The 24373-nt window shown below is 55.6% G+C and overlaps 1 protein-coding gene and 1 long non-coding RNA gene across 23 annotated transcripts in view, besides 4 other annotated features; one reads left to right on the forward strand and one right to left on the reverse strand.

Annotated features, from left to right (window-relative positions):
- The window catches only part of ANO1 (anoctamin 1), a 223534-nt gene that overhangs the window by 194128 nt on the left and 5033 nt on the right, over positions 1-24373 (forward strand). For 20 of the 21 annotated variants that reach the window (NR_030691.2, XM_047427185.1, NM_001378092.1 and 17 more), the window contains 8 exons: positions 1037-1238; positions 1498-1609; positions 3159-3216; positions 5346-5446; positions 7118-7263; positions 10763-10915; positions 19880-19932; positions 22378-22562. Coding sequence is in view for 20 of the 21 variants with exons in the window: in XM_047427185.1 (XP_047283141.1) it covers positions 1037-1238; positions 1498-1609; positions 3159-3216; positions 5346-5446; positions 7118-7263; positions 10763-10915; positions 19880-19932; positions 22378-22562 (1010 nt within the window). In the remaining variant the exon portion in view is untranslated. Of the gene's footprint in view, positions 1-1036; positions 1239-1497; positions 1610-3158; positions 3582-5345; positions 5447-7117; positions 7264-10762; positions 10916-19879; positions 19933-22377; positions 22563-24373 lie in introns of those variants that run through there. The other variant, XM_011545131.3, reaches the window with a different exon arrangement.
- Positions 2403-2569: a silencer, noted in NCBI's record as "fragment chr11:70008633-70008799 (GRCh37/hg19 assembly coordinates)". NCBI's record gives its function as "represses an EF-1alpha promoter that drives an FKBP-Casp9 reporter gene in an ReSE screen in K562 erythroleukemia cells {active_cell/tissue: K562}" and the evidence as "EXISTENCE:reporter gene assay evidence [ECO:0000049][PMID:32094911]".
- Positions 10409-10910: an enhancer, noted in NCBI's record as "H3K4me1 hESC enhancer chr11:70016639-70017140 (GRCh37/hg19 assembly coordinates)". NCBI's record gives its function as "activates a minimal SCP1, AML or CMV promoter by ChIP-STARR-seq in naive H9 embryonic stem cells {active_cell/tissue: H9 hESC(naive)}" and the evidence as "EXISTENCE:reporter gene assay evidence [ECO:0000049][PMID:30033119]".
- Positions 10911-11410: an enhancer, noted in NCBI's record as "H3K4me1 hESC enhancer chr11:70017141-70017640 (GRCh37/hg19 assembly coordinates)". NCBI's record gives its function as "activates a minimal SCP1, AML or CMV promoter by ChIP-STARR-seq in naive H9 embryonic stem cells {active_cell/tissue: H9 hESC(naive)}" and the evidence as "EXISTENCE:reporter gene assay evidence [ECO:0000049][PMID:30033119]".
- LOC101928473 (uncharacterized) lies at positions 12027-15112 on the reverse strand. 2 transcript variants are annotated; one of them, XR_950276.3, is made up of 4 exons: positions 14998-15112; positions 14691-14779; positions 12845-13022; positions 12027-12220 (listed from the first exon to the last, which is right to left on the reverse strand). It is a non-coding gene; the product is annotated as an uncharacterized LOC101928473 (long non-coding RNA). The 2 variants fall into 2 exon arrangements; XR_247259.4 differs by lacking the exon at positions 12027-12220 and having other exon boundaries at positions 12233-13022.
- Positions 14329-15034: an enhancer, noted in NCBI's record as "H3K4me1 hESC enhancer chr11:70020559-70021264 (GRCh37/hg19 assembly coordinates)". NCBI's record gives its function as "activates a minimal SCP1, AML or CMV promoter by ChIP-STARR-seq in naive H9 embryonic stem cells {active_cell/tissue: H9 hESC(naive)}" and the evidence as "EXISTENCE:reporter gene assay evidence [ECO:0000049][PMID:30033119]".

Raw genomic sequence — 24373 nt, forward strand, 5'->3', positions numbered from 1 at the left:
CACCTGTGACTGTGCCAGCAGGGACCGGACCTGCCCTCTGCACCCTTGCATGGGAGCAAATATGCGATTTCCTGGAACACGGGGACACAGGGTGACAAGACAGCCTGTGTCCTGCGGGTGGTTTCACGCCTGGGTGAGGAGCCTGGCTTTGCTGTGTGCTTCTCCTGCCCAGCCCTCGGTCCATCCATCCTCAATGAGGGCTCAGAATGGGGCATCCACACCCCTGGGCAGGGCGGGGCAGGGCAGGGTGAGGGAGCCCAGACAGACAGACAGACAGAGGTGTGTGGAACAATCTTGTCATTGTAGCCAACTCCCACCACGGTTTCTCAGGCAACCACCAACCCAAGTTTTATGGAATGTTCTGGTCCCACGGTATGTTTGGCAAGAGGAGGGGCTCACTCTGGTGGGAGAGCTAGAAGGGTGCTGCTGGCTGGGAGAAGGGACCCAAAGCATCTCCAGCCAGACCCAAAGCCCTGCCCCATCCCAGGCCACACCTGCCTCCTTTACCAGGGGAGTCCCTGGGAGGTGGCTGTGAGAGAGGCACACCTCAGCCCTGCACCACCTGAGGATGTCCCTGAGCTCACCATGGGTTGGGGGAGAAGCCCCATCCCGCAGTCAGTCTGCTCTGGGACAAGCCACTGGCATGGCGGCCATACTGTGTCCTGGGCTGTGCTTGGGGATGGTGCCTGGGCTCCGGGAAGATGGTAGCACAAAGATCTTGTGAACTGCAGGCTTGGGCAGACCGCCTGGTAAATCCCAGCTCCTGAGCTGGGTGACCTGGCCTGTCTACGTAACCTCTCTGAACCTCAGTGTCCTTGTCCATGGAACAGAAACTAGCCCCTCATCCATCTGTCTCTGGTGGGTTAATGCACAGAAAGCCCCTGGCATTTGGCAGGTGCCCAAGAAATGTCAGTGCTTGTTTTGAAGCAGAAGAGCGGGAAGGTTGGGGGACAGCTGGACTGAGGGAGCAGATGGGGCAGGCCCAGGAAGGTCCTGGGTGGGCCCCCAACCAAGAGTGCCCCTTTCCCCCCTGCAGATTGCAGTGACGTTTGCCATCGTCCTCGGCGTCATCATCTACAGAATCTCCATGGCCGCCGCCTTGGCCATGAACTCCTCCCCCTCCGTGCGGTCCAACATCCGGGTCACAGTCACAGCCACCGCAGTCATCATCAACCTAGTGGTCATCATCCTCCTGGACGAGGTGTATGGCTGCATAGCCCGATGGCTCACCAAGATCGGTGAGTGCCCATGTTCCAGGTACTGTGGCCTGGACTCAGGCAGCTGGAGTCGCCTGCCTCTTGCTGTGCATCCTTGAGTTTGTTGCTTAACTTCTCTGGGCCCCAGCTCCCTGGTTCTCAATGGGTATCCTGAGCACAGGCCATGGTGCGCCTATGAGAGCCGACTGAGTGACTGTGCCAGTGGCCAGCCAGAAGCTGGACCAGGCTGTTGGGGGCCATCCCAGCCACAGCCTCAGTATCATCCTACCCCTCCCTCTAGAGGTCCCAAAGACGGAGAAAAGCTTTGAGGAGAGGCTGATCTTCAAGGCTTTCCTGCTGAAGTTTGTGAATTCCTACACCCCCATCTTTTACGTGGCGTTCTTCAAAGGCCGGTAGGGACATCTTCAGCCTTTCCCCAACCTCGCTTCTCCCAGGTCCAGGAGAGGGCTCTCCCTCCCCACAGGTTGGGGGCACCTGGAGCCCAGGGCAGGGCAGACACCGTGGCACCCGCAGCCAAAGAGGGTCAGGGAGAAGGCCTGGGCCCTGCTGAGGCTCCAGAGCAGCGGGACCCTGGGCAGCAGGGAGTCCAGGTGGCAGGGAACCCAGGCAGTGGGGACCCCAGGCAGTGAGGACCGGGGAGTGAGGACCCGGGAGTGAGGGCCCTGGGCAGTGAGGACCCTGGGCCGTGGGGACCCCAGGCAGTGAGGACCGGGGAGTGAGGACCCGGCAGTGAGGGCCCCGGGCAGTGAGGACCCGGGAGTGAGGGCCCCGGGCAGTGAGGACTCTGGGCAGAGAGGACCTCGGGCAGTGAGGACCCGGGAGTGAGGGCCTTGGGCAGTGGGGACCCCAGACAGTGCAGACCCCGGGCAGTGGGGACCCCAGGCAGTGAGGACCGGGGAGTGAGGACCCGGGAGTGAGGGCCCCGGACAGTGGGGACCCCGGGCAGTGGGGACCCCAGGCAGTGAGGACCCTGGGCAGAGGGGACCCCAGGGACTCCAGGCAGTGGGAAGCTCCAGCAGCAGGAAGTCCAGGCAGAGAACCCCAGAAGCCAGCTCCAGGTGCTCCCACGGCAGGTAGGGAGGAGTCCACGTAGGGAGGAGTCCACAAAGTGGGGACAAGGAGAGAGGAGGGTGTGGAAATGCGGCTGCTGGCCACTTGAGCCCTCTTCACAGCTCCTGGAGGAGTGAAACCTTCCACGCCTGGGCCCTCTGGAGCCATCCCAGGCTGCGGTGGGGCCTGCGGCCCACCCACAATGATGCCCCCCACCCCCACCACCACTCCTGCAAGGGACTGGCTGGTCTGATCTCAGAGCCCCCAAAAAGGCTGCCTCCTCCACATCATGTGATTCACCAGTGCCATGCCCGCCCTCCTGGCCCAGGGTCCCAGGGCCCCGCCAAGGGGTCCAGTGCCCCCTGAGCGCATCCAGGATGGAGCAAGCTCTTGGAAGCCTACACGCCCCACACCAGCCCCTAGAAAGCCGAGAGGTTGTCTATCCCCACCCAGGGTGGCCTTTGGCCACCACCTGCCCCAGCTGCCCAAGGTCCCCAGAGTGCTTCTGTGCCAGCTGTCCATGGACCCCACCGTGCCAGCGGCACATCCTGAGTCCCAGGCAGCTAGCGCAGCAGCTTGCAGTCTTCAGGCCGGGTGGTCTTTGCCTTAATCCCCTCCTGGGCCCCTTCCCGCTGCCTCTCAGTCTCGTGGCCTCTCATTGAAGAAGTTCCTTTTTCTGACCCCTCTCTGGGTTTGGGAATCCAACCTTTGACCAATGAAAACCACTGTGGTCATCTTTTAGCAGATGCACCAGGCAGGGAGAGCCGCCTGTAGATACCCTCGAGGCTCAGCCTGCAGGACTCACACGCTGCACAGTCCCCACTTGGGGGTCTCTCCCCGAGCTGAGCCAGGGGCTCATCTTTTCTCTAACGACCTCCCCCATCGTTTCAGGTTTGTTGGACGCCCGGGCGACTACGTGTACATTTTCCGTTCCTTCCGAATGGAAGAGGTAACCGAAATTTTATTCATCTCTGGCAGCCCCTTCTGTCTTGCTTACGATTTGTCTACACCATGCACTTGGGAGAAGCAGCTGCAGCACATTTGTTCAGCAAAGAGCAGCAGGTTTCTTTCCTTCTTGCTGGAAACTTTTCTGTTCCCCTGATGTGGTGGGGTGGGCTTTAATCTTATCTGGTGTGTTCATATAGAATCACCTAGAAGGATAAAGTCGCTGTAGAGTTAATGAAAGAAAAACACAACATCTGGTTTTCTTTTCTTTTTTTGTGAGACTGAATATTTCTCTTCTGGTTAAGATGAATTAATGAGGGACGGGTGCAGTGGCTCATGCCTGTAATCCCAGCACTTTGGGAGGCCGAGACTCGTGGATCACCTGAGGTCAGGAGTTCGAGAGCAGCCTGGCCAACATGGTGAAACCCCATCTCTACTAAAAACGCAAAAAATTAGCCGGGTGTGGTGGTGCATGCCTGTAATCCCACCTACTCGGGAGGCTGAGGCATGAGAATCGCTTGAACCTGGAAGATGGAGGTTGCAGTGAGCTGAGATTTCGCCACTGCACTTCATCCTGGGTGACAGAGCAAGGAACCATTTCAAAAAAAAAAAAAAGAAGATGAATTAATGAGGACAAAACAGAACTTGGCTAACTTTTTTTTTTACTCGACATTGAAATGCTTGTCTCTTTACCCTCAAACACCATGCTGGTGGCATGTGCTTTCTGCCCAGCGATCCTGGCCATAGAAGGTCTGGTTGTGCCAGCCTGGTTCAGCCTCTGTCACGGCCCATGGACTTGCTCCACTGTTTGTCCCACAACCAGGGGCTCCATCAGACCAAGCCGGGGCTTCAGAGCCTATCAGTGGTTCTGGTCTCAGCATTTCCAACCCACAGAGTAATTCAGCTGATCAGAAAATAAGAGGGTGAGTCTTCTTGAAAAAGACCCTGTGGAATAAGATATCGAGGATGGGGTGGACATCAGGTACAGGATTATCTGGCTGTCTGGAGTGCAGCCTAGAGGTTCCACTACCTGAATGCAGGCCCCTGGGCAGCCCAAGACACGGGCCTCCTCCACAGTAATGGGCATCTGCGCCAAGCTTCTGAAATGCTCTTTCCTTTTTACATGATGATCCCCTGTCACACTCGTCCCGGGTCAGAAAGTCATATAATAAAGCAGATGGTGTAATTGCTTTTTCCAAAAGCATGGCTCTCCAAGACAAGTGTAGGGTTTGTTAGGTTTTATTTGGAATGCAGAACAAGTTTACTGTGCCTCAGGGGTCACCATGCATCACTGGTGTTCCCTTTGCTTGGACAAGTTAAACTTCCAGCCCACATAGGTTTCTGACTGTCACCTGCTTGCCGGGTCCCAGGCCTAAGGTGGCAAAGGCCCACTGAGTCAGGGACATTAGGCCTCAGAGGGGTGGCTGCTGCCTCCTGTGGGGCTCAGCCTGCCATGGTGGTGCAGAGCCAGTGGATGCTGACTGGTGCATGGGACCGGCCAGTGGCCCTGGAAAAAAGGAGGCGCCCTGAGGCCCTGCCCCACCCCTGCTTACTCCCTCCCAGTGCGCTCCCCGCTCCCATCCACAGCCCCAAGCACAGCAGCCTGTAGGCGGAGTGTGTCCGTTTCCTGGGGCTGCCGCAACTCGATCCCACAGACTTAAAGTAACAGAGATGGGGGTCTCACAGTTCTGAAGGTCGGAAGTGCAACATCCAGGTGTTAGCCGGGCTGTGTTCCCTTCAAGGGTTCTAGGGGAGGACCTGCCTTGCCTCTCCCAGCTTCTGGGGACTACGGAAGCCCTCATGGTTCCTTTACTTGCCTCTCCACCCTCTGCCGCCATGTTCACGCTGCCTCTTCCCTCTGTGCCCGCGCCTTCTCTTTTTCTGAGGACATCAGTCCTCAGATGGGCGCCCCATCTGAAAACACCCCAGCATGAAAACACCCTGACTTGACTACATTTGCAAAGACCCTTTTTGCAAATAAGGCCACGTTCCCAGGTGGCGGGGATTAGAACCTGAGCGTCTTTTTTTGGAGGACGCAGGTCAACCCACAGCATGAGGGTGGGCCTCCCTGCAGGGCTGGGGTCCCTCTCTCGGTGTCCCTGTAGCGTGGCTGATGCTGCTCTCTGTCCACAGTGTGCGCCAGGGGGCTGCCTGATGGAGCTATGCATCCAGCTCAGCATCATCATGCTGGGGAAACAGCTGATCCAGAACAACCTGTTCGAGATCGGCATCCCGTGAGTGTGCTGCAGCGGGTTAGAGCGGCAGGGGCGGGGCCAGGCGGAGGGGTGTGTGGGTGGCTCCTGCGGGGGTCTGGGTGGACGCGGGGCCTCAACCAAGATGGGGGCACTAGAAGCAGGGAGAGAAGGAGGACACAGAGGGAAGGTGGGGCAAAAGCCACCCCAGGCCAGGCATGGTGGCTGACGCCTGTAATCCCAGCACTTTGGGAAGCTGAGGCAGAAGGACCATTTGAGCCTAGGAAATCAAGACCAGCCTAAGCACAAAGCGAGACTGCACCTCTACAAAAAAATAAAAAGTTAGCCAGGTGTGCTGGTGCGTGCCTGTAGTCCCAGCTACTCAGGAGGCTGAGGCGGGAGGATCGCTGGAGCCCAGGAGTTGCAAGCTGCAGTGAGCTATGATTGTACCACTGCACTCTAGCATGGGCCACAGAGTGAGACCCTGTTTTAAAAAATAAAAACAGGGCCGCGCACAGTGGCTCATAAACTGTAATCCCAGCACTTTGGGAGGCTGAGGCAGGCGGATCACTTGAGGTCAATAATTCGAGACCAGCCTGGCCAACATGGTGAAACCCCACCTCTACTAAAAATACAAAAATTAGCCGGGCGTGGTGGCGGGCGCCTGTAGTCCCAGCTACCTGGGAGGCTGAGGCAGGAGAACCCCTTGAACCCAGGAGGTGGAGGTTGCAGTGAGCCGAGATCGCACCACTGCACTCCAGCCTGGGCGACAGACCGAGACTCCGTCTCAAAAAAATAAATAAATAATAAAAAACATTAAAAAATAAAGCCACCCCATTTTGGACGAAGGAGGGAGAGGAAGTCAGAATGACACCCCACTCCCCATGCTGGCTGAGGATGGGGGGGTACCACCAGGTGCCCCCAAGCCCGATGCTGGCTCCCCAGGGTTTCCAGATGGAGGCTGGGGGACTTGGCCTCGTTGTTACCTTGTACCCTTCGGAAATCCATGTCCCATTCCCACCTCCCCAGTGGCTGCTGGGTCTCTGGAGTCAAGAACTTGTCGGGCCATTTTCCATGATCTGTGTCCTTCCCCAAGAGTCCACTTGGGCATGACCAGCCTCCACTGTTCTTGTGTCCCTGATGCCTGCTGGGCCCTCCTGTGGTTCACAAGTGGTCGTTTGCCCTCCCTGCACCTCCGTTTCCTTCTGTAGCCAGCAAAGCCATGACACTTGCCCCCTGCCTTTTGGGGAAAGGGCAGAAGAGATCATCGACAAAGAAATGATGGCAAACAAGTAAATTCTGGATTTAAAGCAGAAACTTAGAAATATCACTGGAGGCCAGGCGCGGTGGCTCATGCCTATAATCCTAGTACTTTGGGAGGCACAGATGGGCGGATTGCCTGAGCTCAGGAGTTCAAGACCGGCCTGGGCAACACTGTGAAACCCCATCTCTACTTAAAATACAAAAAATTAGCCAGGCGTGGCAGCATGTGCCTATAGTCCCAGCTACTCGGGAGGCTGAGGCAAGAGAATTGCTTGAACCAAGGAGGCAGAGGTTGCAGTGAGCTGAGACAGGGCCACTGCACTCCAGCCTGAGCAAAAAGAGTGAAACTCTGTCTCAAAAAGAAAAAAAGACACATCACTAGAGGTGCCAGACCCAAGCCCCCAAATTCACCCTCCTGCAAACCTAACTGCATGATGTCTCATCTCTCAGGAAGATGAAGAAGCTCATCCGCTACCTGAAGCTGAAGCAGCAGAGCCCCCCTGACCACGAGGAGTGTGTGAAGAGGAAACAGCGGTACGAGGTGGATTACAACCTGGAGCCCTTCGCGGGCCTCACCCCAGAGTACATGGAAATGAGTGAGTGATGGCCGGGGCAGGCAGGTGACATCAGGATAGAAACAGGCCAGCATGCCACCTGGAGTGGGGAAGGGCTGCAGGGGCATGATGCCCCCAACCCTGCGGTGCCCAGCGTCCCTCCATAAGCATCAGGCAGGGAGAAGAGAGATGCAGACCCTGGGATCCTAGTGCTGCCACCCCCTTGGGTCGGTGAGCATGGCTGCTCTGGATGGAGTCCTGTGTTCCAGAGGCCCAGGTCAAGCAGCCACCGTCCCTAGGCACGGTCCCCAAGCATGGTCCCCAGCCACAGTCCCCAGGTATGGTCCCCAGCCACAGTCCCCAGGCACGGTCCCCAGGCACGGTCTCCATCAGCGCAGCCCGACACAGCCTGGGTTGTGCAGCTCTTCCTCCTCCCTTAGTCTCCTCACCAGCCGAGGGCCCGGCCCTGCTAAGCTGCAAGATCGTCCTTACTTGAAACCCCCCACAATCCAAGGTCCCTCCTCTCAGCTCCAAGGCCCTTCAAGCATCCTACTTTGGTTCCATGACTCATCTCCCCTTCCTGGTGGTGAGCTCCTGAGTTGCAGGAGCCACGACTTGCTCACCTGTGGGCTGGCGACAGCTGCCCCCAGCACAGAGCAGGCGTCTCAAAGGAGACCCAGGGATCGAGCCTTACCCCCCTCAATCACGTGGCTGGCCAGGAGGATGCCGAGAGGTGGCACATACCTTTTGGGGGTGGCCAAAGAGAACTGGGAAGAGGCCAGGTGTGGTCCGCACAGCTCTGGACTCTCCCTGACCTGGTCACTTACCTCTCCCTCCTGCCTCCTGCACTCTGCACATGCTGGCCTCCTTGCTGCTCCCCAGCCCCGTGGAGCTCAGGCCGCCCCAGGGCCTTTGCACGAGATGTGCCCTGCTGGAATGCCCTCTCCCAAATACCTGCATGGCTCACTCTCTCCCTGCCTCCCAGGCTCTACTCAGAATGTCCCCCAACAGAGGGGTCTTCCCTGATCACTGTGTTTGAAAGGGGCAGCCCCTCCCCGACACGGCCACGACCCCCACCCCTCCTCTGCTTGGTGTTTCTGCTCCCCAGCAGACAGCCTCACCCCGTCATCCCTCTTCTGTCTCCCCCCGGTAGGACGGCAGCCTCACCCTCTCTTGTTCCTCATCCCATAGCCCTACCCCTAGAGCAGGTCCAGGTATACAGTGGGTGCTCAATGTGTGTTTGCTGACTGAATGGATGAACAAAGGCAGTCAGGAAGACTCCTGCAGAGGGGGGGTCCCAGCATGCAGTGCCCTGGCCACCAAGGTCAACTTCTCTAAAATGCCCGTTCCCAGGCTTGTTCCTGGTCTGCTGGAGGTGAGACCTGGCAGGCTGCATTTTTAAAAAGGGCCTGGGGGTAAGGGCACCTTAGAGGGTGGGGAGCGTTTCTGTTTAATTTCACCACAAGTGCTGCCGTCTGCCCCTCCTGTTAGCCGAATTGTCCACATATGTCGCTCCTGGCTCCCCAGACAATCGTGCAAGGAGCACCTTGCCATTGACTCAGGAGGAGAGGAATCTTCAGTGTGGCGTTCTGTGGCTCCTCTCTGTTTTCTCCTGGAATAAAGTCCAAGCTGAACCAGGGTCAGGCCGGTAGGCAGAAAATGGCTCCCAGCTGTTTAAACTCAGCATTGGCCATGTGGCCAGGAGGGACGGGGTCTGGGAGGTGGCTTCCCCTGCCTGCAGGGTCGCTCCTTCCACAGGAAACCCTAGGGAGAATAGAGCCCAAGACACGAGCACAGCCTGCAGTGGGCCGCGAGAGTGGCAGCCCCTTCCCTGGATTTATTTTCCTAGTGGCTGGACATCACGTCCCGAGTTCCTGACGGGTTTGGACAAAGGGGACTTCTGGAGCAGGCGCCTCCTGCCCACATACACGGGGAGTGGCTCACCCGTTCCCCACACTGCCCCCACTGACCAAGGCACATTTCCACACCCACTGACTTTCTCCCCACCCCATGGGCTGCCAGTCTGCTCCTCCCAGGAAGTCTCAAGCCACAGATGTGGATAGATGGGGAGAACAAGCTCATCTGGAAATGCCCCACCTCCCCGCCCCCCTGCACCCTCCCTCCCAGGCCCCAGCCCTGGCAGCGCCTCCAGCTCCCTGGTCATACCCTTAGTGCCAGAGTAGGCAGCGCCTCTCGGAAGTGAGGAAGCCCACCCTGCTGAGTGACCCACAGCCTCAGGCCTCAGCAGCCCCTGGCCCTCATGCACAGCACACACCGCCCCACATAAGCAATGCCTCATCCCCTCCAGGGGCCTCAGGCAGGACCAGAGGCCTCCCACTCAGCCCACCTTGCCAGGGCTAGCAAGACAGCCCAGGGAGAGAACTTGCAGGCCATTCCCCGCCATGGCCCATCCTACCTGCTAACAGTGCTCACACTCAGGGCACCCCGCACGGCCCACCCCACATGCTAACAATGCCCACACTCAGCCCGCCAGGCACACGGTGACATTCTGCTGGCTTCCTTGTTTACCGCCTGGCACCAAACGCCCTTGGACTGGGTCCTGCTGTGCAGTTCCCGAACCAGCTTTCCTGCTCAGTTCCACTCAGAAACCTTTTCCTGACCTTCTCCTAGAGCCTAGCCCCATGCTGGATGCAGCATCCAAAGCCAGAGAAGCCCCAGAGGCAGCTCCCGGGTGGGATGATCCCCAGGGGGAGGGCCGCAGGGGCAGAGGCGAGGGACTGTCCTGGGCAGTGGGTCCCCACCCGGATCCAGGAGTCCTGATGCAAGGGGAAGTTTGGGCTCTGGAAGATTCAGCCATGCAGGCAGGTCCCCCAGGTCCCAGGGAGCCCCCATGATGGAAGCAGCAGGGCCACTGCCACGTCCCTTCCCAGCATGGGCAGGGGGATGACCACAGGCTGGGCCTTTGAGCTCACGATGGTCCTTTTCCTTTTGGCGATGATTTTTTAAAATTTGACATGGGCTGGCGAGGTGGCTCATGCCTGGAATCCCAGCACTTTGGGTGGATGACTTGAGCTCAGGAGTTTGAGACCAGCCCAGGCAACATAGCAAAATCCCAGCTCTACAAAAAATACAAAAATTAAGCAGTCATAGTGGTGCATGCCTGTGGTCCCAGCTACCCGGGAGGCTGAAGTGGGAGGATTCATTGAGCCTGGGAGGTCAAGGCTGCAGTGAGCCATGGTTGTGCCACTGTACTCCAGCGTGGTGACAGATCGAGACTATCTCACAAAAGATTAGCCATAGATAAGGGAGCATTCCCGTTACTCAAGAGTCAAACACTGAGATTCAGAGCAAAATTTGGAATTCTGCCTTCAGCCCACTCCTGGCCTGGAGGTCACCCAGGGTCATGGAGGGTCCATCCCAAGAGCTCATCTAATGCATCTGCAGGTGGGGTCCATGCAGGTGGGCTCGTTGGAGGTGGGGCGGCAGCCAGACCTGTGCGGCTCGGCACACGGGGTGGTGGAGTCCCCCCTTATGGGCTGTGGCTCACGGGGTGCTGACTAGCACTGGGCTCTCTCTGCAGTCATCCAGTTTGGCTTCGTCACCCTGTTTGTCGCCTCCTTCCCCCTGGCCCCACTGTTTGCGCTGCTGAACAACATCATCGAGATCCGCCTGGACGCCAAAAAGTTTGTCACTGAGCTCCGAAGGCCGGTAGCTGTCAGAGCCAAAGACATCGGTGAGTGACCCCACGGGCCGGCAGAACCGGTTCCGAGTGCGTGCTGGGTTTGGGGAGGGGGTTGCTCCTCTCCAGAAGCTAGAGCCAGAGCTGGCCAGGTGTCCCTCCTGGGGCTCTTCACTCAGCCTTTGCCGGGTGGAGCCTGGGGGCAGGTGACACAAGATGTGGAGGCTCGCTTAGCCCTGTCCCCACCCTTCCCCTCCCAAGATGCCTTGGTCACAGAGGATGTTTGGAAAGAGTGGGTCCCAGACATCTGAATGTCTCAACAACCTGCTGCTTTAGGAGGTACAAGAGACTACATTTCCTCTCTGATGGCTGGCGACACCCACCTGTAGCAATTGTGTGACCCCCAGAGCCAGGGCAAGACCAACGGGAAAGGAGTGTTGGCTGTTCAGCAAGTGCCCTCCTACATGGCATGTCATGGCATCATTTAATGTTCACAAAAGAGAAAAGGAAGGAAGGAGCCCCCATCTGTAGACAGGGAAGAACAGTCCCAGTCATTGCATGGCTTGCCTGTAGGGATCAAAGCCAAGATGCAACTCAACTCCAGCTTTTTCACCCCGTCACTAAGACACCTTGACCATGTGGAGAAGGGGTGTGAGTTTGGGAGAATGTATATTTAAGGTCAGCGTAAAGAATAACTTGGGCTGAGCACCGTGGCTCACTCCTGTAATCCCAGTGCTTTGGGAGGCCCAGGAGGATACATAGCTTGAGCTCAGGAGTTCAAGACCAGCCTAGGCAACATGACGAAACCCTGTCTCTACAAAAAAACACAAAAATGAGCTGGGCGTGATGGTGCGTTCCTGTAGTCCCAGCTACTCAGGAGGCTGAGGTGGGAGGATGAGTGAGCCCACATAGGTTGTGGCTGCAGTGAGCCATGCCCATGCCTGGGCAACAGAGTGAGACCCTGTCTCAAAAAAACAAGTAAAATTTAGCTGGATGTGGTGGCACAGACCTGTGGTCCCAGCTACTTGGGAGGCTGAGGCAGGAGGATCATGTCAGCCCAGGAGGTCAAGGCTGCAGTGAGACGTGATCATGCCACTACACTCCAGCCTGGGCAACAGAGAGAGAACCTGTCTTAAAAAAAAAAAAAAAAAGAAAAGAAAAGAAAAGAAAAAGAGTAACTTTAATAGTCAGAGGTGTCAAAAACAGAGCAGACTTCCTTGTGGATTAGTGAGCTCCCTGTTACCAGAGGCATTTAAGCAGAGACAGGGTGACGATCTGTCCAGGAGGGTGAGGGGTATGGGAGCCCCACGCAGGCTTCCACCGGAGCCAGCCATCACAGGAAGGGTGATCCCATCTTGTCTTATAGTAGGACCAATTTTCAGGGTGAAAACAAAATTACAAAAATACATTGATTTTATCTCAAATTTAACACAATTTTAGTTAAAATAGCACCTGCGTACTAATTATTGGAATAAACAAAAGGTTGAATTACATATTGGGGATATCACCTTGCTGAAATAAAGATTCCATACCAGCTTGATAAGATAGCTTTGGGTTGAGCTTTTGTAGGCCAAACATAATCTTAAGAAAATGTGGGAAATTGACCAGGCGCAGTGGCTCATGCCTGTAATCCCAGCACTTTGGGAGGCGGAAGCAGGTGGATCACCTGAGGTCAGGAGTTCGAGACCAGCCTGACCAACATGGTGAAACCCTGTCTCTACTAAAAATACAAAATTAGCCAGGTGTGGTGGGAGCCTGTAATCCCAGCTACTCAGGAGGCTGAGGCAGGAGAATTCCTTGATTCCAGGAGGCAGAGGTTGCAGTGAGCCGAGATCATGCGATTGCACTTCAGCCTGGGTGACAGAGTGAGACTCCATCTCAAAAAAAAAAAAATGTGGGAAGCTTTATCAATTGTTCCAAGGGCTTCTCCAGTCCTTGGTATTTGTGTCATTCTCGTTGGAAACACCCTTCAGATCATCTCACCCCAGTACGTGTTTTCTCCTTAAGTTGTTAGCGGTTCTGGCTGGAAGCTCCTTGATCCACACCTTGGCCCCTAGTGGCAAGCCCAGCATCCACTGGTGACCAAATTCACCAATCCTCCACTGTCTGGTTCCAAGATAACTTCAACTCTGGCTTCTCTTACGCTTGGCTGTCTTGTAGACTAAAAGAGATGAAATCGTCATTTTCACAGGTCAAAGACCATCAGATAGCAGTGATTCACCCGGCAGCTTCACATTTGCACTGCGTAAGGCCCTGGCTTTGAAAGGGGCCTGGAAACATTGGTGCTTTGTAGGGAGGGACATCCCAGGGCTCCTGGGTAAGAGGTCATGGCACTGTGTTTGGACACTTTTGCTTCCCTACATCACCTCTTCTCTGGGTGACCCAGGTAATGAAGACTCAGAACACAGACACTCTATACTAAACTGCCCTGTGAGATTTTGTTTAAAAATTTCAAAGGCTTTAAAAGCCATGAGCTAACCAACCCTCCGAAGACCCTGCTAACCACCAGCATCCCTGTTTTGCGTCTGCTGAGGCCACGGGTGAGCCCCTTGCCCCTCATACCACAGCCCTCCATGGCCAGAGGTGGAGCAAGGGTAGAGTGCTGATTTGCTGGTGCTCTAGGTCAGAGGTTTGCACTTGTTTTCTGTTAAGAGCCAGAGAGTGAACGTTTTAGGCTTCCTGGACCCAGAGACAATGTCCTCAAGTCTTAGGCAATGGTTCTTACCCAAAGGCTACGCTTTTCATACATTTTTCATTTCACACTTTAAAGTGAAAAAGGCCAGGGCCGGGCGCAGTGGCTCACGCCTGTAATCCCAGCACTTTGGGAGGCCGACGCAGGTGGATCACCTGAGGTCAGGAGTTTGAGACCAGCCTGGCCAATATGGTGAAACTGCGTCTCTACTAAAAATACAAAAATTAGCTGGGCATGCAAATTTTTGTTGTGGCAGTTTTAATTTTTTTTTTTTTTGAGATGGGGTCTCACTCTGTTGCCCAGGCTGGAGTGCAGTGGCACAATCTCGGCTCACTGCAAACTCCGCCTCCCGGGTTCACGCCATTCTCCTGCCTCAGCCTCCTGAGTAGCTGGGACTACAGGTGCCCGCCACCACGCTTGGCTGATTTTTTTGTATTTTTTTAGTAGAGACGGGGTTTCACCATGTTAGCCAGGATGGTCTCGATCTCCTGACCTCATGATCCACCCATCTCGGCCTCCCAAAGTGCTGGGATTACAGGCGTGAGCCACCGTGCCTGGCCAAGCCATTTTTAATTTTTAATGTTGGCATGCACCTGTAGTCCCAGCTACTCAGGAGGCTGAGGCAGGAGAATCGCATGAACCCGGGAGGCGGAGGTTGCAGTGAGCCGAGATCGCACCACTGCACTCCAGCCTGGGCAACACAGCGAGACTCCACCTAAAAAATAAATTTAAAAAGCCATTTTTAGCTTTTAGGGACAAGTGAGAAAGAGGCTGTCGAAAAACAGGCCACCATGGCCGTCTTTGCACACCCGCTCTCAAGAGCAAGGCGAGATTGCACCCCAAGCTGTGCCTCAGCATAGCGCTGCTTTGAAAATTGGCATCACAGAGCTGCCTCCAACATGAACTTTCCTCAGAACCTCAGCCTGTTGTGTCCTCCAGGGAACCCCGGGAGGAAGCCTGGGTGAATCCTCCCTCAGTCCCACTTTCCAGATAGGAGGCCGAGGCCCAGGCGGTAACAGTGCCGAGCAGGAACCAGAGAGCTCAAGCCCTGGGCCTCCTGCATGCGTAGAGGGTTTGCCTCTGAAAACCTCACCCTGTATACCGAAGACCCCAAAAGGGGACCCTGGGTCTGCTCACCAGGTTCTCCCTGCAGTCCTCGGAAATTCTGGAGCTCCCTGTCCCATGGCAGTAAAGAAAAGAGTGCCATCCCATTCCAGCAGGTACAGCTAAAAAAAGAAAAGAAAAAAGAAAAGAAAAGAAAAGAAAAGAAGAGTGCAGCCCACACTGAGTCCTCACAAAGGCCTGATGCTCAGGCAGCCGACAGTACCCCACCCCCGCCCGCCACCTGCCACATCACAGTGCGCGTGTGTTTGCTCTGGCACCCTCTGCTTCGAGAAGCTCTGGCTGTCCCCAGACAGTGGCTGAATGAAGCTTGCAAACCCACCAGGGTGAAAGGGAGCAGCAGCTCAGTGGCCCTGGCTTCCCGCAGTCCCTCTGCAGGCATTGGCGTCCCCACCAGCAGCAGGCCTTCCGCGTGCCTCTTTGGACTCTTTGCACCTGGCTGGTTTTTGCTCAGTTCTTACGGATCAGCTACTCACTTCCTGGTTCCTGTCCGGTTGGCTGAAGGCATAATCTGCCCTCCTTTCACGAGTTTGTTTATGGGTTCCTTAACCGTAACCTTTCCTTGAAGAGGCTTTTGTATTCCTTCTGTGATCCGTGCAGGGCCCCCAGGCGAGCTCCTTGAGAGGACAGAGAGGGCCCCTGTGGCCCCTGTGACCTGCGCCCCTGAGGCCCTGGGTGGCTGGGGGAAGCTGTGCCACAAAGCGCAGGTGCCTTGATCACCCTGTCGTCCAGCGGGTCACAGCAGGGACCCAGCCGTGCGTGGGAATCTGCTCCAGGTCCCTAGCCCTGGTTTCGACTTCCTGTTTTCTTCCTGGTTCTTCAGAGCCTGCTGGTGGGAAAGTGCAGCCTCCATTCAGCTCCCGGGCACTGCATGTGGGCAGGAGTGGTGGCCTCGCCAAGTACCTGGCTTTATCCAAATACCTCCCTGTTCTGTTCCAGAAAATGGCGCTTAGCATCCCCTAGAGTGGGAAAAATTCCTTGGGAAAGAAACCAAGGAATTTACTTGGGGAAGTAAAAATGAGGCAATTTTCCCCAACAGGGCTTTCATAAAAGAAGCCCACCCAAAGAATATTCTAAAAGCACAGCATCCCCTTTTACTTAGAGATGTCAATGAAAAGAGTCAAACTCTGTCAAATATTTGAAGAGATTTATTCTGAGCCATGAGTGACCATGGCCCATGACACAGCCCTCAGGAGGTCCTGAGAACATGGGCCCAAGGTGGCCGTGGTACAGCTTGGTTTTATACATTTTAGGGAGACATGAAACATCAATCAGATACATCTAAGGTATACATTGGTTTGGTCCAGAAAGGCGGGACAGGGCGACTTCCAGATTATGGGTATATATATATATACACTTTTTTTTTTTTTTTTTGGAGACAAGAGTTTCACTCTTGACACCCAGGCTGAAGTGCAATGGCATGATGCAACCTCCACCTCCTGGGTTCAAGCGATTCTCCTGCCTCAGCATCCTGAGTAGCTGGGATTGCAGGTGTGCGCCACCAGATTTGGCTAATTTTGTATTTTTAGTAGATACAAGGTTTCACCATGTTGGCCAGGCTGGTCTCCAACTTCTGACCTCAGGTGATCTGCCCGCCTCTGCCTACCAAAGTGCTGGGATTACAGGCATGAGCCACCACACCCGGCCTATTTTTAAAATTTCTGATTGTCAATTGGTTGAGTTATTATCAATAGAAAGGAAAGTCTGGGTTATGATAAGGGGTTTTGGAAACCAAGGTTTTATTGTGCAGATGAAGCCTCCCGGTAACAGGCTTCAGAGAGAATAGACTGTAAATGTTTATCAGACTCAAGGTCTGTGTTGATGTTCATGCTGGTCGACTTTTGTTGAATTCCAAAAGGGAGGAGGGCATGAGGAGGCCTGTCCGACCCTCCTCCCGCCCCCTGCTTCCTGTCATGGCCTGAACCAGTCTTTCAGGTTAATTTGGGGGTGCCCTGGCCGAGACGATGAACCCCATTCAAATGGTTCGGGGGACCCTTAGAATTTTATTTTTGGTTTACAGAGATCCTTAGAGCAGTGAGTGTCACCCTGGAATGTGCGTCAGAATAACTCGGGGCTCCCAGCCCCACCCCAGGAGAGGCGGATCCCGTGGGCTGGGGCTGGGGTGCCGGTTCAGCATTTCTCTAACACACCCCGCGGATGTGCAGGGCCACACGGAGAGCCATCCGCCTGGACGTAGATATCCTGCAGACCTGTCAGGACAGGCTCCATCGGGGCCCGGAAGCGAGGAAGACCCCGCTCCCGGCTCCATCTCATCCCCGCCTCATCCCTCCCATTTCCTGTTGTCTCTCTGGGCCGGTTGGGCGATCACCTGGGCGGACCCCCTTGCCTGCCTGAGTCCTGCACTTCGACGGCCCTGAACTCAGGAGCCACGTCCCTCGGGAGCCCCAAAGACTTCAACCTCCACCCCAGGCCCACCGCACCTCAGCACCCCACTTCGGAGGTCTCAAACTCAGCGCCCCAAGGGCCAGGTGGGCCACACGCGCAAGTGAGACTAAGTCCTGGGAGTGTTCTTCATGGCCACAGAGCAGTGTGCCTGTTCCCACATTTCTTGAAACGTTCAACTCTCTAGTGGGGGTCTGGGTTTAGATGCTAAGGCGGCCATAATGGAGGTCGGAGGTCGCCGGGAGGCCTCAGCACAGACAGCAGAGCTGCGGTGCACAGCCCAGCCTGCAGGGGGCGCCCCCGGGCACCACAGCCAGCTGTTGCCAAGGAGACGCACCAGCCAGCCAGGACCAGAGCCGAGGAGTCTCGATTTTTCTTTTCTTTTTTTTTTCTTTTTTTTTTTTTTTTTTTTTTTGAGACAGAGCCTCGTTCATTCTCCCAGGCTGGAGTGAAGTGGCGCGATCTCGGCTCACTGCAACCTCCGCCCCCCGGGTTCAAGCGATTCTCCTGCCTCAGCCTCCTGAGTAGCTGGGATTACAGGCGCCCGCCACCACACTCGGCTAATTTTTGTATTTTTAATAGAGCGGGGCTTCGCCATGTTGGCCAGGCTGATCTCGAACTCCCGACCTCAGGTGATCCACCAACCTCAGCCTCCCAAAGTGCTAGGATTACAGGCGTGAGCCAATGCGCCCGGTCTTGATTTTTTAAAATACATTTTCCTGGTTTTTAAGCATCCGTCTGCATTTTTAAGCAGTAGACAAGCACAACAAGATGGCCATGCTGCCTGGATGGGGCCTGCCTGCCACCGCTTTGCAGCCTCTGCTCCGGCACCAGAATCTGGTTGGAAAGGGCTTTCTGCACTCGTGCAGTCACTCAGCAAACATTTACCCAGCAGCACCCACCTTATGTGCCAGACACCAAGCTAGACCCAGAATCTACAGGGATGTGCAATTAGCACCCTGCCTTAGGAGCTCGGAGTCCACGGAGGGCCCTCAGCCCTGACACCCAGCCAGGAGAAGCCGGGTCGGAAGTGTTTCCACTCCTAAGGGAGTGCTTCAGTGCTGACTTTGTAGGGCTGTGCCATCCAACCCTCACCTGCATTCCCAGGTGCTTTATTCAGCATGGGGTGGCCTTAGGGCTGCTAGTGTGCAGAGCCCATGTGACTGCCCCACCACCTGCTCCAGCAGAAAAATAAACTGAGGACCACTGCACTCGTGCAAAAGATCAAACGGAGCTACAATAAACTCCTCATCTGGGATAAGGCGATAGTCCCCATGGCCCGAGGACTGGAGACAGGGGTCAGGGAAGTGTGACTGTCACTTCTCAAATTGCCTACCAGCAATGGGTTGCAGTGGGTATTTCTCTTTTTTTTTTTTTTTGAGACAGAACCTTTCTCTGTTGCCCATGCTGGAATGCAGTGGCGTGATCTCGGCTCCCCATAACCTCCGCCTCCCTGGCTCAATCTATTCTCGTGCCTCAGCCTTCTGAGTAGCTGGGATTACAGGCATGTGCCACGACGCCTGGCTAATTTTTGTATTTTTAGTAGAGATGGGGTTTTGCCATATTGGCGAGGCTGCTCTCGAACTCCTGGCTTCAAGTCATCTGCCCACCTCAGCCTCCCAAAATGCTGGGATTATAGGCGTGAGCCACCACACCCAGCCCGCAGTGGGCATTTCTGATTGATGATGATTGTGACTGTGATCTATCATTGAATTGACACTGGCTGGGGCCAGGGAGCAAGAGATCTTGGTCTCAGAGGTTTCATCTGAGCCTGTGGTTTCTAGCTCGGGGCCACACAGGGGCCTGAGCTCTTGCTGCCTTTGCAGACCACCAGCATGCACCCCAAAAACGGGGACTGGGAGGCTCCCCTCAGCTACTAGGGCAGAAGCGCTATGTACAGCTCTCCCTGTAGCCTCCTGCACAGGTAGGATGTCCACTTGCTCCATCCTGGCCGTTTCTGACGAGTGCTGGTTATCACCCATCTCAGAGCTGGCTCAGGGCACAGAGAGCAGGCCCCAGGATTGGGCTCCCAGCCGAACCGCTGCACACAACATTGCTGGGCATGATAGGGTGCAGTTAGGGTGAGGCGGGGGTCAGCCCGGGACACTGGACCATTTCTAGGAATTGCAACACTGAGGCCCTGCTTCCTGGGCCATTGAGGGCCTCCTTCCTGGGCCCTGCTAGTTCTCATGGCCACTGGGAAGACGAATGGAGAGACCAGCATGGCCCTGGGCGCTGTGTTGTGATCCTCTTGTTCATCTGTGATTTGGTGCACCCCTGGGTCTTGGAGTAAAGGGAACAAGGGTGTGTCTAGATAGGGAACGGTTCAACCTTCACTGCTGTGGACTCAGTGCCTCCAGCCAGGGGCCCTGGCACTGTTCCTCAACAGCAAAGCCATGTCTGGCCTATCCCTAAATACAGGTATCCTCCGCCAGAGCTTTAGGAGCTGCACCCCAATTGAATCTTGGTCAGTTTAGGAATTAAAAAAGGTTTCATCTAAGCGAACTAGCATTTAAACAGGTGCATGGGGAGATTGTGCAGAACCACTGAGGGAGCAGCTGTCTTTAAGCACCTCTTTTAGAAGCTGGTGAGCTTGTCAGAAAGGGCTGGTACACACCAGGCCCTGGCACTGGCCTGGCTTCCTCAGGACCTGAACAAATGACTCTTGGTTGCCATAAGCCTCTGACTGCTGTGAGAAAGCCTGGCCCCTGCAAGGGTGGTACCCGCTCAGACTGCTGCCTGGTAGCTGGAATGACTGAGAGTGTAGGGCTCTTTAAAACTGTGACTTCTTCTTCCCCCAGGAATCTGGTACAATATCCTCAGAGGCATTGGGAAGCTTGCTGTCATCATCAATGTAAGTGACATCAGGGACCTTGGCAGAATGGAAGTCCCGGCTGAACTGCCAGGTGGCCGGGGCCCTGTGGAGAAGGAGCTGGGCATGGGTCTTCTGCCTCTAGCCATGGTGCAGCCCCAGGCTGCCCGGATTCTCTAGTTATAAATGTCCCTTGACCGCATGGCATGGGGAGGGTGCACTCTGGGGAGGCATAACAAATTCTCTTCAACCTTTTTCTGCAAGTTTTTTTTTTTTGAATCTGAGTTTCACTCTGTGGTCCAGGCTGCAGTACAGTGGCACGATCTCAGCTCCCTACAACCTCCGCCTCCCAGGTTCAAGCTATTCTCGTGCCTCAGTCTCCCAAGTAGCCGGGATTACAGGCACCCACCACCACACCTGGCTAACTTTTATATTTTTAGTAGAGACGGGGTTTTGACATGTTGACCAGGCTGGTCTCAAACTCCTGACCTCAGGTGATTCGCCCTCCTCGGCCTCCCAAAGTGCTGGGATTACATTCACGAGCCACTGCGCCCAGCCTTTCTGCAAGCTTTGAGCAAAATTCTCCACCATGCCCACCTTCGCCCCTAAGTCCACTGAGAATAAACAAGAGACAGAGATAGGTGGGAAGACAGAGACAGAGATAGGAGGGAAGACAGAGACAGAGATAGGAGGGAAGACAGAGACAGAGGGAGAGAAACACAGAGATTCCTTATTGGCAATCTTTCTGTTCTCTTATTTAAAGAAAAAAGTTGATTTTTCTCCTTAATCTGAAACGTATGGCTGCTCTGTAGAGAAGGTTTGGGAGATGCTGAAATGGGGCGAGAAGGGAGCACTCATCAGCCTTACACACGGCTCTGCTAAGGATCAGGGCTCCAGGCCCCTCAGCCTCCTCCCCAGCATGGCAGCCCCTTCCAGCCTCTCCTATCCCCAGGCCTGCAGGCTAGGATGGCCCGGCCCTCAGCCTTCCCCATCGGGGTCTGTCTGACTCTGCCCATGGCCTGGATCTCCCCGGGTTTAGCTGTGCCCAGCTGTCCCCAGTACATACTTCAAGCCCAAGGCTGCATCCTAGACATGAAAACCCGAGGCAGCCATGGGGAGTCTGCTGTGCCAGGGGCCCATGGCTCTCGTCCCTTCCACCCTCTGGCTGAGCCCAATCCTCCCCGCCAAAAGTTGACACCATGCACATGAGGGACACGGGGTGGCTCCCCAAAGCTGACGGTCGACGCCCCTGCAGGGCCGTGATGCCAAGTCAGGGTCTCAGCAGGCCCTGGGACTCAGTCCCCACAGAGGGCAGGGGGTGACACTCAGCCCCGGAGAAGGGCCCCTCAGAGCCCTCTGACAGTGCCCTTTCCCGGTGGGCAACGCTTTCTGCCAGGCATGCGCTCCCACCAGATTACAGGAAGGCTGCAGGCAGAGTGTGCACACCGGGATGGCCCCTTATCCCGCCCAGACAAAGGCGCGCAGGGCCCTGAGGCAGGGCCCATGCTGTGCTGGAGTGGGTGGAGCTGGGAACAGAGGTACGTCCTGCCTGCAACAAGCGGCGCTGTGAGCAGCTGCGGAGCACAGTGGGCATCTCCTGAGGACAACAGCAGCAACAACAATAACAGCAGGCTGGGCCCGGTGGCTCACACCTGTAATCCCAGCACTTTGGGAGGCCAAGGCAGGAGGATCGCTTGAGGCGAGGAATTCAAGACCAGCCTGGCCAACATAATGAAACACAGTGAGACCATGTCTCTCTCTCTGAAAAAAAAAAAAAAAGTAGTAGCAGGAAACATTCACGAGGCACCTAGAATGTTCTAGAACCTTCTAAGCTCTTTCCACACACTAGCCCACTGGTCTGCAGACAGCCCTTGAAGGCGAGGACTGCCATGGCCCCATCTTACAGGTAAGACACCAGAGGCACAGAGAGGTTAGGTGATTTGCCCAAGGCCACACAGCCATGTGAGAGGCAGCCGTTGGGCCTTGGTTTCCTCTCTTGTAAGGGCACCAGCCAGAGCCGGTGCTATAATAGAATGAGCCGGGTGAGGACTTGAGAGCTTGCAAAGCACTTTCCCTTCCTGCCTCATTCCCTTCTCCAACAAGCCCAGAGGCACAGTGCATACATGGTGTGGGTGTTGTTAGCCCTGTTTTGACAAGAAGAAAATGGAGGCACAGAGAGGTTGGGTGATTTGCCCAAGGCCACACAGCCAGCAAGAGGCTGCCAGCGTCTGCCTGGTGCCTTCTCTCCTAGAAGTGCACTGTTCTGGCCACCAGGCACTCTCCTTCAGCTGCCAGGGGGCTGAGAGGAACACCCGCGACCCTGCATCCATTCACTCAGCATGCCGAGGCTGTGCGGCTATGGTCCCCGCCAGAGGCAGTGGCATATGGCCAGGGTCCAGTGTAACTGTGGATGGGTCACCCCCTGTTGCGGCCGGCCCTTCTGCGCCCAGGCTGGGGGTCCCCCTCACTGCCATGTCCCCTGCACAGGCCTTCGTGATCTCCTTCACGTCTGACTTCATCCCGCGCCTGGTGTACCTCTACATGTACAGTAAGAACGGGACCATGCACGGCTTCGTCAACCACACCCTCTCCTCCTTCAACGTCAGTGACTTCCAGAACGGCACGGCCCCCAATGACCCCCTGGACCTGGGCTACGAGGTGCAGATCTGCAGGTACTGCTCTCTGCTCCCCTCTTTGAAAAGCCACGTTTATTGGGTTTCTGGGAGAGCCTGGGTTTGGACGGGGCTCAAATCAGGAGCAAGTCATGAAACAACGCAAACTTGCTTAAAAAGAAGAAGAAGGAAAAAAAAAAAGGCTGGTGCAGTGGCTCACACCCGTCATCCCAGCACTTTGGGAGGGCCAGGCAGGAGGATCACTTGAGCTCAGGAGTTAGAGACCAGCCTGAGCCACATAGTGAGACCTCATCTCTACAAAAAATTTTTTAAATAGCCGGGCGTTGTGGCACTCACCTGTAGTTCTAGCTACTCGGGAGGCTGAGGTGGGAGGATCAATTGAGCCTAGGAATTTGAGGCTGCAGTGAGCTATGATCGCACCACTGCACTCCAGCCTGGGCAACAGAGTGAGACCCTATCTATAAAGAAATAAACAAATGCCTAAGGGGAGGAAATTAGAGGTGATTTACCAGTTCCTGTAACTAAGAAGCCCAGGATAGCTTCAGGCATGGCTGGATCCAGGAGCTACAGTTTGCCATCAGGCTCCACTCTGGCACTGCCTCTCCACTTTGATTTCCTCTGTGTTGCATTGTTCTCTTGCTGATGAAAAGGATCCCTAGCAGCTCCTGGCTTCAATCCTTTCTGCTCTGCAGCCCCTGTGGGAAGACCTTCTGTTTCCCAATAGTCAGTGAAAATCCAGGGACTGAGTCTTACTGCCCCATCTTGGGTCAGATGTCCATTCTTGAACCAACCACTATTGCCATGAGGAGGGGGGCTCTCCTTGGCTTGGCCTGGGTCATGTGCCAGGGTGTGAGGTCACAGAGAATGGGGGGGTCCTAGGGAAAACTGGGGTGCTATGACTTGAAGAAGAGGAGACAGATGCTAGCAGGCAAAGCCTTGAGCACAGAATAAAGAGGAACGAGCTGGTGCGTGTGGCTTCTGACACTGGGAGGACAGGGCTGCTTGTTCCCATGGGAAAGCAGGTTGTGCAACTTCTGCCTGGCCCAGCAGCTGGCACCAGAGCCGTGGCCCAGCCTGATCCTATCTCAGGAGTTGGCAGCTCAGTGCTGAATAGGCCCTCGGAGACTCCCATCCAGCTCCCTCCAGAAATCAAGCTCCGTAGGCAAGGGCCCTATCTGTTGTGCACCGCCCCCCACCCCGGAATTCTCCATCCCTGGGGTGGGGTCTGGCACATAGTAGTTGGTCAATAAATGCTTGTGACATAAGTAAGTGAGGGAATGCCCAGACTGAGGCCCAGAGAGGTCAAGTGATTGCCCAGGGGACACACAGCAAGGTGGTAGTCGGAGTGGGCGAGCACCAGGGATGTGGGTCCAGGCCAGGGCTGTGCCTGCAAATCCAGGTGGCCCTTCTCCTAGCCTCCCCGACTGACCTCAGGTTTTAGTGACCAACAGGGGCACAAACGGCCCCTGAGCCCCTGGAAATCCTGCCCCTCATGGGGGCATTTTCTGTCCAGCTTTGGGAAGCTTTTCCAATGCAGGGTGGGGACGTCAGCTCCATTCAAGCTATGTTCCAGCTGATGTGTGGCATCCCCCAGATTCAGGGAGCTGTGGAGGGAGGGAGGCCCTAGGCAGAGACCTCACCCTGCCCCCACAGACCCTGGGCATCTCTGGGTCTCTGTGAAAAGAGGAAGGGGCTGGGGAGAACTGGAGCACGGGCAGTGGTCATGAATGGGGCAAGCCTCCTTCCTGAGGCTCCAATCATATCCACGAAGAGCCAAGGTCAGTGGCAGGACCTTGGGGAGAGGGGTGTGAGTGAGCTTGACTCTCCAAGCAGGAGATCAGTCAGCTACA

This window comes from Homo sapiens, chromosome 11, assembly GCF_000001405.40.
Source record: "Homo sapiens chromosome 11, GRCh38.p14 Primary Assembly".
NCBI lineage: Eukaryota > Metazoa > Chordata > Mammalia > Primates > Hominidae > Homo > Homo sapiens.